At 35.1% G+C, this 20,107-nt stretch overlaps 1 protein-coding gene across 5 annotated transcripts in view; it reads left to right on the forward strand.

The window, feature by feature from the left end:
• Window positions 1-20,107, forward strand: part of KBTBD12 (kelch repeat and BTB domain containing 12) — a 72,446-nt gene that overhangs the window by 10,015 nt on the left and 42,324 nt on the right. For all 5 annotated transcript variants that reach the window (NM_001370224.1, NM_207335.4, XM_047447589.1 and 2 more), the window contains exons 3-4: window positions 2,518-2,788; window positions 4,887-5,037. In NM_001370224.1, coding sequence (NP_001357153.1) covers window positions 2,518-2,788; window positions 4,887-5,037 — 422 coding nt within the window. The remainder of the gene's footprint in view (window positions 1-2,517; window positions 2,789-4,886; window positions 5,038-20,107) is intronic.

Below are 20,107 nucleotides of genomic sequence, written 5' to 3' on the forward strand. Positions count from 1 at the left end.
CCTGAGCCACAGGAGCAGCCTTCTTCAGAATTATCAGGGAGAGACTACAGAGCCAGGAGAGCAGATCCCCACAGGAAGAGGAAGCCTTGACTTCCTGATGTGGTTCTCAGGGGTCCATGCCACCAGTTTTACACTTGCTCTTGGTTGGGTGCCCTTCTTTCCACCTTAGAATCTCTTGACCTGGTACTTCAGGTTCTTTACATAGTTTTTTTTCTTCCTCCTCAAGATAGTCTACAATTCTGCCATCACATCTTATTTTTAGTAAACCTCCAACCCTGTCAAAGTGTCTTTCAGTTTTGGTCCTCAGACGTCTTTCCTTTTAACTTATTGAGAGCCCATTTCCCTTTCTAACAGCAAATGTCTAACTATATACCCCATGTTTTCCTTCCTGTTTATCTTGAACTCAACCAGGTTCCCATCACCAACCGTCTCACCCTCCACATTGGTCAGAGTTAGAGTAAAAGTTATTAGTTACTCCCATCATTTCTTCCAATAATGAAATTGTCAGAAGCATTGCTTTAGGCTTAAATGAGACTTCCAGCTGATGTTCTGTGTAGTTAAAATCTCCTAGCACTACTGAAGGTTACTGTAGTGCCAGTTTTGTGATATGCATAAGAAATTTATCATCCTGTGCTACATCCCTGTTATATTATTTGTGTATCTCATTCTTTTTATCTTTGTCCAGATGTTCTTCAGCTTGCCTCTACTCATAGATTTCCATGCAGATATATTTCTTCTTGACTTAAAAGAGGAAGTAGACTAGTACTCTGGAAGATTATTTATTTTTTAAAAAGATGTACCTTTCCATCTCCTTCACTTATCTCCATTTGTCTTTAAACTATCAATCTCTATTAACAATGAAGGCCTTTGTCACTATTGTTTTCTTTTTTATGTCATATCCACTTAATACTAAGTTTTAGAGTTTTATCTGGGTATTTTCTCTCCCTGTTTCAGTTCTAAATGTGAAAACAAAAATCAGATTAGGAAGTCACCCAGCAAACATCTACTTTCTAACCTTTATGGGATGTACTTCATTCCTAGCCTATTTTCTTTAACTATGTCTCAGAAAACCCAAACCCATTTTTTAAAGTTCATTTATATATTAATTCAGTTGGCTTTACTTTGGTAGCCCCCACATATATTACAGATACCTATTCCTCCTTTCTTTTCTAAAATTCATACAATTAAAAATAGTGACAAAAATATTGCCTGTGATTCTAGAGACTTTGGTTCTCTGCCTAGAATTACATAGAAGACAGCCATCATAAGGCGTGATAAATTTCTACATTCAGCTGTGACAAGCCAGACATACCCTCTTAGAAAGGAGCATGCCTTCTAACTGCCCTGTCAAGCCTCAAGTAAAGATGTCTCTCTGGGAAAGAACGTTAAGAGTTGGCCTAGACAACTGGAAAAAACTCCTACCATAGAATTAACTGTGAGGTGTTAAATGCAAAATAAGTCGTCTATACTTAAAAATTGTACTCTGTATAAAACACACATAAGTTCCTAATTTGTTTCCAAACAGAACAACTTTTTTCTTAATTTCCATGTTTTCCTGTTTTTTTGTGTGTGTGTGTTTAATTTTGAATTCCAGATATACTTTCTGGATTTTCTGGGACATTTAATTTCACATATTTTACCCCTCTGACCAACCCCATGAAGTACTTCTGTCCTTCTCAGACTGTGTATCTTCAATCATGATTGGAGATAAAGACTTATCATAATCATGATGCAAGACAAAGAATAGCCACAAACTCATCTACCCAGTGACCATACAATGCCCCATCACACACATAATCAGTTAATGTGTTGGACTCTAGAAGGCATTGAGAGACCATATATACTAATGTCCCTAGTTCTTAAGACTCTTAGAGTGATACTCTGGAAGAAATTACTGAAATTGCCACATCTAGTAGATTAAAATAGATGTTAAGTGCCCAGCAGACATCTACAGGTAGGTTTTTATACAGTGCTCTTGACCCAGTTGTAAGCCAGTTGGAACTACAACAGTTCTTAAAATTCTACATATTCTAAATCATCCTGAGAGAAATTTGTGAATTGAGATGTTTTTAGATTCTCTGCCCTAAAACTGTGATTTCTTTAATGTTCGTATGAAAGTGATATTTCTTGTCCACAGAATAAGGCATTCTTGTATTTTTGCTTACTTTTATGGTAAAATTAAAAATGATTTGCTTAAAAACTTTCTATCCATTCTTGATTTTCTTTCCCAGAATTAGAAAATGAAGGCTACTCCTGGAAAATCTATACTTTTTCTCTATATTTTCCCCAAAACTCTTCAGGTATATGTGGCTAATTATTTTAAAGCACATTATATTTTGTTCATTATTCCTTAAAAAAAAAGCAAACCTGTGTCATTTTCTTGTATTAATGTTTTTTGTCCTCCAATTGGAAGAACCATATCTCATTATTTTTGGTCAGAAAATAAATAAGTGTATTTCTTGGGTAAATTGCTTTCATGTTACCTCTAATCCTGGATACTCTCTCTCTCTTTTGCAGGTATCATGATAGAGGAAACCAGTTTTGGGAAAAGTTATGCACAGCTGAATTTCGAGAACTCTATGCTCTGGGCAGTATTCATAATGACCTTTATGTTATAGGAGGACAGATGAAAATTAAAAACCAGTATCTTATTACAAACTGTGTTGATAAGTACTCTGTAGAACGGGACAATTGGAAAAGGGTGTCTCCCCTTCCACTGCAATTGGCATGTCATGCTGTAGTGACAGTGAATAATAAACTTTATGTAATTGGAGGCTGGACCCCTCAGGTTAAGAAATTTCCTGTATACATAATTGGCATGGCTATACTGAGTCTGGCTGCTATGTTAAACATTGTTGTAGTTGTTGAATGCTAAAAGAGTGTGACTTACATTTTGGTAAAATGCTTTCTGTTTTATAGAATATAACTCAAGGTTTTAAAGTGTTAAAGCAATTTAGGAGAATGGATTTTTAAAGTGTGTTTTCATAGACATGACTTGATTCAGTTTTCATGCTGTGCTCTTTATAATCCTCCCATTTTTGCTAATTATGAAAGATATTTGTGCTGAGGGATTATCTGTAGGGAGCATCTAACTAGGAGGAAGAGAAGCTGGATCCTCATCCAGTTCTGTGTGTCTAATAGCTCTGTGACCTGAGGCAAGTAACTCATAGGCCTTTTCCATATTTAAAATTCTTACTCTAAGTGAGACACCAGAATACCGATCTGTGATGGCACAATCGTTTCTATGCAAGCATATTGTGATTGTAACACTTGATGTTTTTATTGGGCATCAGCAGGCAGAGAACCCAGAATGCTGTTTCTATTGAAGCCCAGTGAAGTGATGGCAAACCAAAGTGAAAAGTCAGGGGTGTGTGGCCATGGTGGCCTTCTCCCTCCCCTCCGGATGTCCTCTCCTGGTGCCTTGGAGCACTCTTCTTAGGATCACTTCAGCTGCCTCATGCCCTGGCCAGCCAGACTTTCTAATAAAAATTAATCTCACTAGCTCATTGGTCATCCTCATGGCATAAAGTAAATTTATTTTTGCCTGTATTATTTTTTGTTTCTCCAAGTTTTCTTCATGATAAAACTGATGCTATTTGCATTCATTCCAGAAGCTTGGATTTTGCCATTTATATATAGTATATCATACCTGTTTTAAAAACTTAAACCTCACATGTAACACATTTAATTTTTTCTGCTATATGTCAAAAAGTAGTACAGATTTCATCACAGCTAGCAGGAGAAACCTGACAGATTATTTGTAATTAAACTTTTTTAAAACTATCCATTTACATAGTTAATTTTGCATGCATAAGCCCCAAAAACAACTTAGAGGCTTTTCTTTGCATTTTTTCACTAAAATAGAGATTAAATACTTAAATTAGAAGGAAAATTAAAACCATAAAGTCAACGTTTGTTAATTTATAAAGTTTCTGAACAGATAACATGAACGTTTACCTCATAGAGGAAAGGCTTTGCTACCCGATTGAGTACCTTGTATAACAATTGCAAGATCACACAGGGTTGTGCGTGTGCCATGGTGAGCATAACTCTTGGTATATTTAAAGTGGTTAACTAAAATTAATTGCATAAACTTTCATAAGTATGCCAGTTATTTCTTTGTTGAACACTTGTATCCCAAAAAAATGGCACTCATGAATCCTTAGCTTGAAGTCATATTAAGTTCCACATACATGTATACAAAAAATATTATTTCACCTAACATTTATGAATAGGAAAAGCCACATCTGTGTAAGAAAAGGTTGTTTAATTTGTACCTTCTCTAGTCATTAAAAATATATAAAATAAGTATGTTAAAATAACTGCAAATAATTTATATTAGTCAATAAATCTTGAAAATTGAATTTACACCATTCCTATATAGGCCATAATTATGGTGTAAAAATAATTATGAAGACACTACAATGTTTTGGCAACTTTGTTTCATGTGGATTAGAAAAATATAAAGAAAATGCCTTCTAAATTATTAAAATTAGTTTCTCACAAATATTAAAATCAACTACTATAAAGTTTGGTAAAATAGAATTACACTTTAAATACTATTCAAGAGAGCTTGGTTTTGTTTTTAAGGCTTTGCAGTTGCTTCTTTAAAAAAAAAAAAGCTGTAATGAATGTCTCACTGCTAAGATCACAAATTGTTTGCTATAACCATGCACCTTTGGCCCATTATTTCAGAATATAAATTCCTCTGATATTGACAGTATACTTATAACCCCCGTCATGGGGTTTGGTGTGTTTGTGAGTATGAGTCACTGCAGTTAACCTCTATTTATCTCCTTGGCTGTCTGCTTTGATTAATTGCATTCATGTACTCACAAAGATTGCTAAATGATATGTTATTATATTGGCTGTCATATTTCATACAGATGGATCTTCCTGATGAAGAACCTGATCGATTAAGCAACAAACTGTTGCAGTATGACCCCAGCCAAGATCAATGGAGTGTGCGGGCACCCATGAAGTACTCTAAGTACCGATTCAGTACAGCTGTAGTCAACAGTGAGATTTATGTTTTGGGTAAGAAGAAGCAGATTGCTAACAGTATAACTACTTTTATTTTCCTCAGCAGTTTGCCTCAGCAAAAATGAAACGTTCTCCTTTGCACTTGTATTCCAGTTCAAATTTATATACAACTAGCTGAACTTTGTCTTTTATTTCTTGTTTTCTAGAGTACAGTCAAATAAGATTAAAGGAAGTCCATTGACATATTGAGAGCAAAATTATTTTTATGGCATTTACAAGTGCCTTGGAATGTAAAAACAATAATGATACATCCTTATATATACTACCAAGTAATATACTTTGAAATAGGAATAGGCCTTTGGTCACTTTTAGTCAATGAAATGTGGGCTTTGCACCAACTGTGATGGATCTGTGCCATTAGAAGAGAAAGCCACTATAGGTAAGACTGTGCCACAGATTGTGCCAATCCTCATTTTGCCTAACCCACCAAATTTCTAGAGAGGTGTTATCAAACAATTTTCATTTGAATGCACTTTTTTCTTATGTGTGTCTTGTACTTCTTATATGTATGGTCTTGTACTAACCATAACTAACAAGAATTGGTAAAAGACTTCAGTTCCACTAAGATGGGTAAAAACAATTCCACAACATCCCCTATGTATCCCCTATCCTTCTCCATTCCTTGATTTTTCCTGTTTTGTTAAGTCCTTAGCTCTTTTAAGTACATTCCATCTGCCTAACATTATTCTCTATCACCTTCCCTCACCTCCCTAAGTATGGGAAAGAAACAATGAGGCAGGGAGGTTGACTGGACTGATGAAATGATACCTATGCCAATTCTTTATTTCATCCAATCTGCATTGATGGCTAACAGGAAAAACATGGGGAAGATGATGGATAGCAAAGAAATGGCAAGGAAGAAATATGAAATAGGGAATGGAAGCAAACTAAGCATTTAAATAGAAAGTATTATCATGATGATTTTTTTTTTACTGAAGGGAGGCCATTATCTCTTAGCTGTTTGCACAGCATGAAGCAAAATAATTAATGCACTCAAGCATTAGTAGTTATTTTATGATTTTAATAACAAGAATATTACACAACATAATTTATGACTACCTCAGTTATGAGATTCACTTATAATTAAGTTTTTTCTCTTGATATATATTTCTTACTTTGTTATAACCATATACTATGTCACAGGCCCAGAAGAGACAATCCCTAACCTATGATAGATCACCTAGGATAGATGTATCACTCAAGGGGATGAAGGGCCTGTCTACTAAACATATTACAGTTGGGGGCAGCCAAAAGTGGGATAAAAGTGATATATCCATTGGACCAGAATGAGATTTCCCCCTAAAGTGGAGCCACAACGAGGCTAGATGTGGAATTTAAATGATAATATATTGTTTGATAAACTACATGGGAAAGGCACTCGTGGGAGCTTACACTTCATGGCATGGACACTGTCCATTGAATGAATGAAAGGAGGTAGATTTAAAAGAACTTGTAAGATTTGAGTGGATGAAATCTAGAAAAGAGCATGCTCCAGGAAAAGGTGCAATGGGAGGGGGCAAAAAAGAACAAAGAAGGAGAATGGAATAAGCAGTGGTTTGGAGGTGAGAATGAAAGTGGTGAGAGTAGAGGATAAAAGAAGGTAAATGAGTCCACCAGGGACAGGGAGTTCTGAGAGAAAGAGCTGAGTAGTAAACTGAGAAGCAGATTATAGAGGCCTTTGGATGAAGAATTAAGGAAATACTAGTGAACAGTAAGAAACCACACAGAAGCAACACCATTAAAGAATGTTTTAGAAAAACTTGTGAGATAAGCATATAAAGAACACAGCAAAGAGAAGAAGAAACTGGAAGTGGAGAGACTAATTAGGAAGGTTTTTACAGTAGCTTACACTCTAGTTTTTGAATATTCAGAACTGGAGAACAGATTCATGATCACCCCAGTGAGCTTTACCACCCTGTAAGATTCAGCCCAAAAGGGTCATCTTCCTCAGCATTTGCTACTTAATTCCCAAATATATTTATAAACTTTGAAATAGAATGTAGTTCAGTTGTTTAGGCATTTTTGTAGTAGTCTTAGTTCATATTTAATTGTTCACTGTATATATAATTGGAATTCGGGCAACTATCATATAGAACCCTAAAACCTTATTACTTTCAGTCATTCACATTATCTTAGCAAAAGCCCTGTCTGCTTTTAGGAATCTATATGTACCTCCACTGTGTTTTGGGTCACTGTCAATTAGTATAACAATAAGCCCTCTTTCTAATCCCTATAATGGATTTAATTTCTTACTATGTCCTAGATAGTCTACAGGGTATCTCCCAAAAAGCAGCCACTGAAACCTCCTTCACCAGGAAGGCAGCATGGTAAAGTAGGGAAGACACTAGCTTTGGAGTTGAGTATATTTGGATTGAAATCCTGACATACTACCTATATATTCTTGGTCTGGTAAATCTTTTTATGTTGCTATTGCTAATATTGAAATGGGATTGCCTACCTCTTTGAGATATTAAGATAATATAAGTATAATTCCTACAATGTAAGTGTTCAGATATTGTAAATTCTGTTTATTGAGCCCCTTTGTTACAGAGACTTTGCTAAATTCTTTGCTTAAAGTTTCACTTAATAGTCATAAAAGCAGATAAATTATTAACTGTCTTCTATATAGTTGGCTAGATATCGAGACTCATCCTCTGACTGAGAAAAACCTAAAAACATTGTAAAGCATATCTTTAGAAACCTTTTAAGATCTGACATGCCGGTAAGAATTTAGCAGGCCAAAAGCCAAATGAAAGCAGATTTCCAACTATGAAGAACGGAAAAAGTCAACATTCTATACTTAAAAATAAAATAAAACAAAACCAGGCAAATTTGTCAAAAACTACCATTTTAGATCTCTAGAAATCAATCATAAATAACAAATTGAGAATAGTTTCTTTATTTAAAAACAATACTGAGCTTGAAGTAAGACTTCAGGCAGTCTGTAGCATTCTCTCCTGAGGTGCTGTTCCTCACCCCAGCTCATTCAACATGGTAATACTGCTAGAGTGGGGCTGGCTACAAAAACTAGCAGCTTTTTTTTGCCAAAGGGGGCTGACATGTTTGTGAGTAGAGGGTGGAAAAACCACACTCACAGTGGAAAATAGGAAAAGCCTACAGTTCTCCTAGGCTGAGATCTTAGTCCTGGTTGGTACAACAGCCCACAAAAGAACTGGCCAGAAATTTAACAGGAAGATCCTGGAAATCAGAAAGTCACAGAGAGACTTGAGAAACTCATTCCCTGGAGGCCAAGAAAGCTGCATAAACATGCAGCGCCATAGACAGCCCAAGCTCTCCACACATTCCTAGATGACTAGTAGGTTGAGCACATGTAGAGAGCAGATCCAAGAGGACCAGGCAGAAGGTAAATGTCATAGCAGACTTGGAAACTATTTGAACTTTTAAGGTACTCCCATGCAGATCCACCAGGAGACAGTGGAAGACTTACTGGTGTTTGACTACAACCACCAGTCATTGACAGAGACTAAGCTATGCAGAAATAAGGGTAACTCATAGGCTAAAATATAAAAATGATAATTTCTGAAAACAGAGGGGAAACTGCCGCAAACAGTAGAAGAGGCATGTTCCGTTTAGGTAAATTAGTTAAAAACAACAACAAAAAGGCAGTCAAAAAACGGAAAAGAAAGAAACCCTCAAGGAAAACAATAAAATCAGGATAAAAAGTTGCCACAATATATTATCCATAATGCCCAGTACCAACAAAAAATCACAACACAAGCAAAGGAAAAGAAACAGAAAAGCATAACCCATTTGGGGGTGGGGGTGGTGCAGAAGTATTCAATAAAAGTTGTCTCTGAGTGAGCCTGGATGTTGGATTTAGGAGGCAAAGGCAAAGTCTTCAAAGTGACTATCAAATATATGTTCAAAGAATTAATGAACACCAATTTTAAAGAATTAAAGGAAAATATGACCATGAGTCCACTTTGATATTGATAAAGAATAGAAATTATCTAAAAGAACCAGTGGAAATGTTAAACTTGTGAAGTAAAATAAACCAAATAAAAATGCCCTGAAGGGGCTCAGGAGCACTTTTGATATGTTAGAAGAAAGAATCAATGAACTTGAAATCTATAGAGATTATATAATCTGAAGAAGAGAGAAAAAATTGGAGAAAAATTAGCAGGGCTCAGAGTCAGATGGAATATCAAACCTATGAACAGATGTTTAATGGGAATCCCAAAAGGAAATGAGAGAGAGAAGTAATAGTCAAAAATTTCTGAAATTTGATGGGGAAACATTAATCTACAGAGCAAAGAAGTTTATCAGACCTCATGTAGGATAAATTCCCAGAGATCCTCACCTAAATACATAACAGAAGAACTACTAAAGACAGAAAATTCTTAAAAGCAGCAAGGTAAAACGCCGTATCATGTAGAAGGAAACAAGAGTATACTTAACAGATGAGACTTACCAGAAACAATAGAGGCAACTAGGCAGTGGAATATTATATTCAAAGTGTTACAAGAAAAAAAACTGATCAATCAAGAATTCTGTATCCAGGAAAACTGTGCTTCAAAACTTAAGGTGAAATAGACATCCCAGATGACTAAAGATGGAGATAATATGTGGCTAGCAGACTTACAAGAAATACTAAAAGAACACTAAAATCCTTCAGACAGAACGGAGGTGATGCTAGACAGTAACCTGTGTCCACAGGAAGAAATGAATAGCACAATAAATGGTAAATATATAAGGAAATATAAAGGGCTGCATAGGACGTGTTTTTCTTTTTTCTTCTCTTAATTTATTTAAAAGATATAAAAGAATACAGATGCTCCTCAATTTACAGTGGCATTATGTTCCAATAAAAACCCATCATAGGTTGAAAATATAGAAAGTAAAAAATGTATTTTATACCCTGATAAGCCCATCATGAAGTTGAAATGTCCTAAGTTGAAATGCCCAAACCATCATTAAGTTGGGGACCATCTGTAAAGCAGCAATTGTGATACTATATAGTTGGGTTTTTCACATATGCAGATGTAATATATATGACAATATCAGAGAGTAGAGGAGGAGAAAATGGGGTTATTTTGGAACAAAGTTGCTGTTTGTAATGAAATCAACTCAGTATTAACCTAAAATAGAGGATGATAAAGTAAAATACATGTTAGAATTTTAGAGCAACCACTGAGATTTTAAAAAATAGTTTAAAAGTCAACTAAAGAAGCCAGGCACAGTGGCATGCACCTGTAATCCCAGCTACTTGGAAGGCTGAGGTGGGAGGATCACTTGAGCCCAAGAGTTCAAGACCAGCCTGGGCAATATAGTGAGCCGCCTGCTCAAAGAAAGTTACAAAAGAAAATGATGCACTTAAAAATGTGTTAAATACAAGAGAGGGCAGCAAAGGAGGAACAGAAAAAAAGTTACAAGACATAGAAAATAAGTAGCAAAATGGCAGATGTATAGCCAGTCATTATCAAAAATTACATCAAAAGGGAATGGACCAAACACGCTAATCAAAAGGCAAAGATTTTCATACTGAATAAGAAATTAAAATCAAATATATGCTCTCTATAAGAGACACATTTTGTACTCAAATACACAAATATTTACTATCATTTTATAATAAAGACATAAAATGCAAAAAGTAATATTAAGAGAGGTGCAGTGACTATATCATCAGACAAAATAGAGTAGAACTTTTACTACAGACAAACAGGAAAATTTCATGATAATAAAATTGCCAATAATATCAGGAAAATATATCAATTATAAACGTGTCATACCTAAAAAGAGAGACCTAAAATACATGAAGCAAAACCTGAGATGAGGCTGGGCATGGTGGCTCATGCCTGTAATCTCAGCACTTTGGGAGGCCGAGGTAGGCGGATCACTTGAGGTCAGAAGTTCAACACCAGAGTGGCCAATGTGGTGAAACCCTGTCTCTACTAAAAATACAAAAGTTAGCCGGGTATGGTGGCATATGCCTATAGTCCCAGCCACTTGGGAGGCTGTGGCAGGAGAATCTCTTGAACCCGGGAGACAGAAGTTGCAGTGAGCTGAGATCATGCCACTGCATTCTAGCCTAGGTGACAGAGCAAGACTCCGCTCAGGAGTACAGAAAAAAAAAAAAATGACATGAAAAATAGTCAAACAATCATCAATGGAGATTTATACTACTATCAAGAATTGATAGGATTAGACTGAGTATCAGCAAGGTTTTAGAAGATTTGAACAGCACTATCAACCAACTTTACTTACCTTTACTGGTTTGTGCTGACGGCTGCATAGTTTTGTAAATATACTAAAAATCACTAAATTGTACACACAATGGGTGTATAATGTGGTATCTAAGTTGTCTCAATAAGTAAATGTGCAGGACACCCAAACATTTATCAAGCCTGGAAAATTGTAAGCTTTAGTTTCCCAGGCTTGCAGCTTACCAAAATTACTCAAGGTGGGAAATCTAATTAGAGTTACTATGGACATAAAGCTGGTACTTCAAAGAGCTATAGCCTCTGTGTAACCATATACTAGAAGTAAACCTGCCTTACATCTCTCATCTCAGAGGACTTCAAAGAAACATCTTGGCATTGAGAAAGTTACTGATGAAAGGCTCATACATCCCTGAGAAGTAATAATCATAAATAAGCTCTTGAGTGGAATTGCAACCCAAATTCGCATACCCAAGTGGGAAAAAAGAAAAGAAAAAGCTTGAATCATGAATTTATTTTAAAATGCCTCAGACTGGTAGTGTGGTCAGGTACCTGGAAAAAGCAAATTCACATTCTCTCAAGAAATGCATCTTTATCCTAGACCTCAAAAATCCCCCACAAATAATTTTCCAAGGAAAATAAGCATTCCACAGTTAATGAAACAAGACACCTTGAGCAAGAACTGGTGGAAATAATGGCCAGAAAACAACAACAACAACAACAACAACAACAACAACAACAACAAAACAGTGGAGACCTCACATACTGGAAGTGTCAGACAAATAGTGTGCTTACTCCGTTTAAAGAAATAAAAGAATAAAATTTACAATATCACCAGGAAATAGAAAATGATAGAGAATGATCAAAAATGTTTGGGTAAGAAGTGACTTTATAACTGCAAGGGATGTAAAAATATATAACAATATTAAAACCTCATAGGTATATTTGAGAGCAGATCACACAAAGATAAAGAGAAAATTAGTGAGTAGAAGAAAGTTCTGAAAATTAGTGAATAGAAGAGAGTTCTGAAGAATTTGCCCAGAGTGCATCACAAAGATTTTTTTTAAGTAGAAGAAAAGTTAAAATAGATGGGTAATAGAGTGAGGGGATTAATAATGTTTAACAGAGTTCTACAAGGAGAGGAAAGAGAACAGAACAGAAGCAATATCTGAAGAAAAATGGGTGAGGATTTTCTAAAACCAGTGAAAGGCACTAATGCACACAAACAAGCAAAAATAGTGAATGCCAAGCACAACAAACAAACAAGAAATGTATACTTAGATTTGTAGTGATCATGAAACTGAAAAACACCAATGAAAAGAGAATATCTTAAAAGCAAATTAAGAAAACAGACTGATTACTTTTAAGAAGTGACAGATTGACATCTGACTTATCAACAGAATAATGGAATCCTAAAGACAGTTAAATTGCATGTTTAATGTGCTAGGAGAAAATAAATGCTAAAGTAGAATTCTATACCTAATGAGATGGTCTTTCAAGAATACGGATGAAATAAAGACATTTTCAGATGAGGTAACACTGAAAGCAGACCACCAGCAGACCACCATAAAGGAATTTTAAAGTATGTCTTTAAGCAAAAAATGTGATCCCAGATTGAAGATCTAAAATGCAAGATGAAATGAAGAGCAAAGAATGTGGTAAACATATGGGTAAATGGAAACACTTCACAGTTAAATATTTAAGATAGACTATTTTAATATCAGTTACAAATATTAAATTGACTTATAAAATAATAATTAATATTTTTAAACAGTGATAAAATAGTAAAAGAAATGAAATCAAAATTATAATAACAAGTTGGGACAGGGGTGAGTGGAGTGAAAGTGTCCTAAGATCCCCTGATTATCCAGGAGGAGGACCAAGGAAAGGATTAAATTTGCAACATTTGATGCAGACATTAAGTATGCATGCGAAATTTCTAGGCTTACCACTAAGAGAATACAGAGTATACAAATTTTAAACTAACAAATGGGAAAAATAGAGTTAAAGATCAGTGCAAAAGAATGCAATAAGTAAGAAAGAAGAAGTAGAATAAACAAGACAACTGATAACATGAAATAAAAAGCTAGATATTAGATGAAATGTACCAACAATTATATTAAATGGAAATGCACTAAATGCTTCAGTTAAAAGGCAAAGATTATCCATCTGTTGGAAAGAAAACCAACCGTATTCTGTTTAAAATATGACTTGATTGAAAAATACATTTTAGGTAAATTCTAACTAAAAGAAAGCTGGTATAGCTGTTTATTAATATTAGCAAAAATATACTTTAAAGCAAAATCGATTAATAGAGTTTCTGGCTCTAGGTAAAATGGAGTAAGCACACTTCACGTTCTCTCCCACTGAATACAACTATAAAACATGGACAGAATGCATGTATTTGAAGACTCTGTAAACAGAAGTAGGTACATCAAGAAAGAACACCAGAATTTTAAGTACCACTACCATAGGATTTACTATGTTTTCTCCTCTGATAGCCCCTAGCCTGAAGTCAACGCAACTAGAAACCCGGAAGTGGCCATTGTGCACAGAGAGAGCTCCAAGAAAATCTGTCTGGCTCCGGCATGAGTTACTGAAAAGGGAGGTTATAATTATCAGAATGTAGATATCCCCTCACTTTTTTCTCTCTTTTCTCTGTACTCTTACATCTCAATACCTAGACAATCCCATGGCAATGATGACCAGCAAGAGCCAAAACTCAAAGGGAGAAGAAACTTCCTCTCCATTTAGTCAAGCTGCAGTTCCAAGAGGGTGTGGTCAACCCACGTTGCTTTCGTCTTTTCCTTTCTCTCTTGTCTTGTCACTTGAGCCCAACAAGCTTCCAAATGCAGAAATATATGGCAGAGAGGGGTAACTAGAACCTCAAGTTTCTAGCCAGAGAACCGAAAAAGGGAACATTTGGGAACTGAAAATACCAGGGAGATCTCAGGGAGGGTTTTTCAATGTATTTAGGTGTAATCTATGAGACATATATTTACAAAGCATGAAAGAGGGAGGGTAAATGGAACTATAAGGCGAAGATTCCAACATTCCAGTTATAGTGATAAAATACTGATACTAAGTAGACTATGAAATAAGTACGTATTTTGTAATCCCAAAAGAAATGCTATTCAAAGAGATATAGTAAAAATCACAATAAATGCATTGAGATGGAAGACTGAAAAATGTTTAAATAATTTAAAAGAGATCAGACAAAGTGAAAAAAATACCACAGAGAGACCAAACAAAGCAAGCAATAAATCAGTAGATCTAAATCTAGCCACAAAAATAATTACCTTAAATGCAGATGTTCTAATGACATCAATTAGAAGACAGAAATTGTCAGAATGGATTACAAATAGAATGACCTAAAAATATTCTGTGTACATGAAACCCACTTCAACTATAATGATATAGGTAGTTTAAGAGTAAAAGGCTGGAAAATGTATACCATGCAAACACTGATCAAAAGAAAGCTGGGGTGGCTTTGTGAAGATCAAATAAAGTAGACTTCAGCAGAAAGAAAATTACCAGAGGCATGGAAGGACATTACATAATGATAAAATAATTGATTCACTAAGAAGACATAACAATACTAAATGTGTATGTACCTAACAACAGAACCAAATTACATGCAGTGAAATCTGACAAAACTGAAAGGAGAAATAGACAACTCCACAATTATAATTGAAGATTTAACACTCCTCTCTCAATAATAAATAGAACCAGTAGATAGAAAAACAACAAGTACCTGTATATAGAAAGAGCTCAATAACGCCATTAACCAACTAGATCTAACTGACATTTATTGCCCACTCCACCCAGAAAGAGCACATGGAATGTTCACCAAGATAGACCATATCCTGAGTCATAAAACAAACCTTAACAAAATTTAAGGAAGTAAAATCATACAAAGTATATTCTCTGACCACAGTGGAACATAAGGATAACTGAATAGTCTTCAAATACTTGAAAATTGAGCAACTCATTTCTAAATAATCCATGGGTTAAAGACGAAATCTCAAGAGAAATTAGAAAATATGTTATGCTGAATGAAAATGGAAACACAACATATCAAAGTTCGAAGAGTACTGCTAAAGCAGTGTTTAGAAGGAATTTATGGCATTAAGTGCTTGTATTAGAAAAGAAGAAAGTTCTCACATCTATAGTCTAAGCCCCTGATTTTAAAAACTAGAAAAAGAACAACATAAATCAAGTAGAAGAAAGTAAATAAAGATAGGAGCAGAAAACAGGGAAATTAGAGGCTGAAAAAAAAAGGAAAATCAATGAAACCAATCTGTTTCTTTGAAAAAGCCAATACAGTTGGTAAACACTAGCAAGACTAACCAATAAAAAGAGGAATACAGTACAGATTACCAATATTAGAAATGAAAAGGGATATTACTACAGTCTCTGAAAATATTAAAAGGATAATAGGGCAGTGCTACAAACAACTCTACAGAAATACATTTGACAACTTAGATGAAATGGACCAATTCTTTGAAAACCACAAACTACTAAAAGCCACCTAAGATAAAAGATATAACCCCAAAATGATTAAATACATTGAATTCTTAGTTTAAAACATTTCAAAAAATAAATATCTAGTTCCAAATGGTTTCACTCGTGAATTTAACCAAGCATTTAAAAATAACAGCAATTCTGCAACCTCTTTTAGAACAAAGAGGGAAAACTTCCCATCTCATTTTATAGGTCAGCATTACCTAATACCAAACCAGACAAGACAGTACAGAAAAAGAAAACTACAGATCAATATCACTCTTAAACACAAACATGCAAATCCTTAACAAAATATTAGCAAGTTCAACCCAGCAATATATGTAGAAAACACACCATGCCAAACGTGTTTTTTCCTGAGAATGCAAGATTAGTTCAATATTCAGAAATCAATCAATATGATCTACCATATTATAGTCTGCAGAAGAAAAGCCACATAATCACATCAATTGATGCCTAAAAATCATTTGAAAGAGTATGACATTTGTTCATAATGAAAAATTCTCAGCAAACCAAGAAGATACGAGAATTTCCTCAACCTCTCAATCTGATAAAAGACACCTATGAAAAATCTACAGGTAACATCATTCTAATTTTTTATTATTTTTATTTTTTGAGATGGAGTCTCACTCTGTTGCCTAGGCTGGAGTGCAGTGGTGCGATCTCAGCTCACTGCAACCTCCATCTCCCAGACGGAATCTTTCGGGTTCAAGCAATTCTCCTCCCCAGCCTCCCAAGTAGCTGGGGTTACAGGCACCTGCCATCACGCCCAGCTCATTTTTGTATTATTAGTAGAGACGGGGTTTCACCATGTTGGCCAGGCTGGTCTTGAACTCCTGATCTGAAGTGATCCACCCGCCTCAGCCTCCCAAAGTACTGGAATTACAGGCATGAGCCATCATGCCCGGCCAATATCATTCTTAATGGCAAATTTATATGCTTTCCCCCTAAGTTCATGAAAAAGGCAAGAATACACTTATCACTATTATTCAACATCATAGTGGAAGTCTTAATACAATAAAGAAAGATAAAGTTGTGCAGAAGTGAAGAAATGAACCTGTCCCTATTTCCAAATGACATGATCATCTATGTAGAAAATCTAAAAGGGCCTATCTTTTACATTTCTAGAACTAATAAAGGGGTTTAGTGTAGTCAGCAAATACAAAAGGTCAATCATTTACTTTTAAAAAATGTATGTATTTAAGGCATACAACATATTTTGATATACATAGTCAAAAGATTACTATAATCAAGCTAATTAACATATCTGTCTCCTCACATACCTTTTAAGTGTATGTGCGGTGGGAGTACCTGATATCTACTCTTAGCAAATTTTCAGAATACGATACAGTATTAACTGTAGTCATCATGCTGTACTATGGATCTTTAGACTTATTCATTCTACATATATTCCAGATATAGCTGAGTTCATGCAATATTTTTCTGTGTCTGGCTTATTTCACTTAGTGTAATGTCTAGTTTATCCATGTTGTTACAAATTGCATGCTCTCATTTTTAAAGGCTGAATAATATTCCATTTCTTTATTCAGTCATCCATTAATGAACATTTAGATTGTTTCTATATCTTGACTATTGTGAATGCTGCAATGAAGATGAGCATTCTTGTGTTAGTTATATATATATAACTATATATAACTATATATATAACTACATATAACTATATATACAACTATATATAACTATATATATAACTATATATATATATATATAACTATAGTCCATCTTGTGTTGCTGTAACAGAATACCAGAGACTGGGTAATGTATGAGGAAAAGAGGTTTATTTAGCTCATGGTTCTGCAGACTGGGAAGTTCAAGGACATGACCTTGGCTTCTGGCAAGGGCTTTCTTGCTGCACCATAACATGGCAAAGAAGGTCAAAGAGGAAGCTGACCTGTGTGAAGAGACAGATCCCAGGGGCATGCTGGCTTTATAACAACAGACTCTTGCATTAACTAATTTATTCTCATGAGAACTAATCCAGTCTGCCCAGAGAGAGAACTCACCACTTTGAAAACAGCACGAAGCCATTTATGAAGGATATGTCTCCATGACCCAAACACCTCCCACTTGACCCCACCTTCCAACACTGCCACATTGGGGATCAAATTTCAGCATGACTTTTGGTGGAGACAAGCCACATCCAAACTATAGCAGTCTCTTTGAGGTACTGATTTCATTTCCTTTGTGTGTATACACAGAAGAGGGATTGTTAGGTCACATAGTAGTTCTATTTCTGTTTTTTGAAGAAACTCCATACTTTTTTCCATAATGGCCATACCAATTTCCATTCCCATCAACAGTGTACAAGGGTTCCCTTTTCTCTGTATTGTCAACACTTTTTGATAATAGCCATCCTAACAGGTATGAGGTGATGTCTCACTGTGGTTTGGATTTGCATTTCCCTATTGATTAGTGATGTTGAGTGCTTTTTTCATATACCTATTGGGCATTTGTATATCTTTTTTGATATACAAATAGATTTTGAAAAAAAAATCTATTCAGGTCCCTTGCCCATTTTTTAATTAGGTTATTTGGGTTTTTTTGCTATTGAGTTGTGTGAGTTCCTAATATATTTTGGATATTAACCCTTTTCAGATACATGATTTGCAAATATTTTCTTTCAATATGCAGGTTGTCTTTTCATTTTTTTTTTCTTTTCTATACAGAAGCTTTTTGGTTTGATGTAGTCTGACTTGTTTATTTTTTGCTTTTGTTGCCTAAGGTTTTGGTGTCATATTCAAAAAATTGCCAAGGCCAATGTCAAGCAACTTTTCCCTATGTTTTCTTCTACGAGTTTTACCATTTCAGGTCTTATGTTTAAGTCTTTAATCCATTTTGAGTTGCTTTTTGTGTATAGTGTAAGATAAGGTCCAATTTCATTTTTTGCATGTGGATATTCATTTTTCCTGACATCATTTATTGAAGAGACTGTCCTTTCACCATTGTATATTCTTGGCACCTTGTCAAAAATTAGTTGACTGTATATCCTTGGGTTTATTTCTGGGCTCTCTATTCCATTTTATTGGTTTATGTGTCTGTTTTTATTGCCAGTACCATACTGTTTTGATCACTATAGCTTTGTAATAGAACTTGAAATCCGGAAGTTGGTGACTCTAACTTTGTTCTTTTTTCTCAAGATTACTTCAGCAATTTGGAGTCGTTCATGGTTCCACACAGATTTTAGAATAGTTTTTTTCTATTTCTGTGAAAATTTTCATTGAAATTTTGATGGGGATTGTGTTCAATCTATATATCACTTTGGGTAATATGCACATTTTAACAATATTAATTCTTTAAATCTACAAATATGGGATATGCTTCCATTGATTTGTATCTTATTTTTTTTCATCAGTGTTTTATAAAGTGTTCAGTGCAGAGATTATCCACTTTCTTGGTTAAATTTATTTCTAAGTATTTTATCCTTTTGGGTACTGTTGTAAATGAGATTTCTCTATTTCCTTGTCAGATAAGTGGTTGTTGGTATAAAGAATGCAACTGATTTTTGTGTGTTGATTTTGTATCCTGTAACTTCACTGAATTTATTAGTTCTAACAATTTTTTTGTGGAATCTTTAGGCTTGTCTATATGTAGGATCATGTCATCTGCAAACAGATAATTTTACTTCTTCCTTTCCAGTGTGGGTGGCTTTTACTTCTTTTTCTTGTCTATTTGCTCTTGCTAGTAATTCCAGTACTATGTTGTATAGAAGTGGCAAGGCATCCTTGCATTGTAATAAATCTTAAAGAATAAGCTTTGAGGTTCCCCCCACTGATTATGATGTTAGCTGTGGGATTCTCCTAAATGGCCTTTACTGTACTGGGGAAATGTTCTTCTCTACATTTTATTCTATTTTATTTTATTTTTTGTTATTTATTTTATTTTATTTTTTGAGAGAGGGTCTTGCTCTGTTGCTCAGGCTAGAGTCCGTGGCACAATCATGGCTCACTGTAGCCTCAACCTCCCAGGCTCAGGTGCTCTTCCCACCTCAGCCTCCTAAGTAGCTGGGACCACAGACTCATGCCAACCCACCCAGCTAATTTTGGTATTTGTTTTTGCTGTTGTTGTTGTTTGTAGAGATGGGGTTTCTCCATGTTGCCTAGGCTGGTCTAACACTGGTTGTTTTCTGTGTGTTTTTTTTAAAAATAGTAGCTATCTTTTTTTTTTTTTTTTTTTTTTTTTTTTTTTTTTTTTTGAGACGGAGTCTCGCTCTGTCGCCCAGGCTGGAGTGCAGTGGCATGATCTCGGCTCACTGCAAGCTCCGCCTCCCAGGTTCACGCCATTCTCCTACCTCAGCCTCCCGAGTAGGTGAGACTACAGGCGCCCACCACAATGCCCGGCTAATT

This window comes from Homo sapiens, chromosome 3 (assembly GCF_000001405.40).
Source record: "Homo sapiens chromosome 3, GRCh38.p14 Primary Assembly".
NCBI classification, from domain to species: domain Eukaryota; kingdom Metazoa; phylum Chordata; class Mammalia; order Primates; family Hominidae; genus Homo; species Homo sapiens.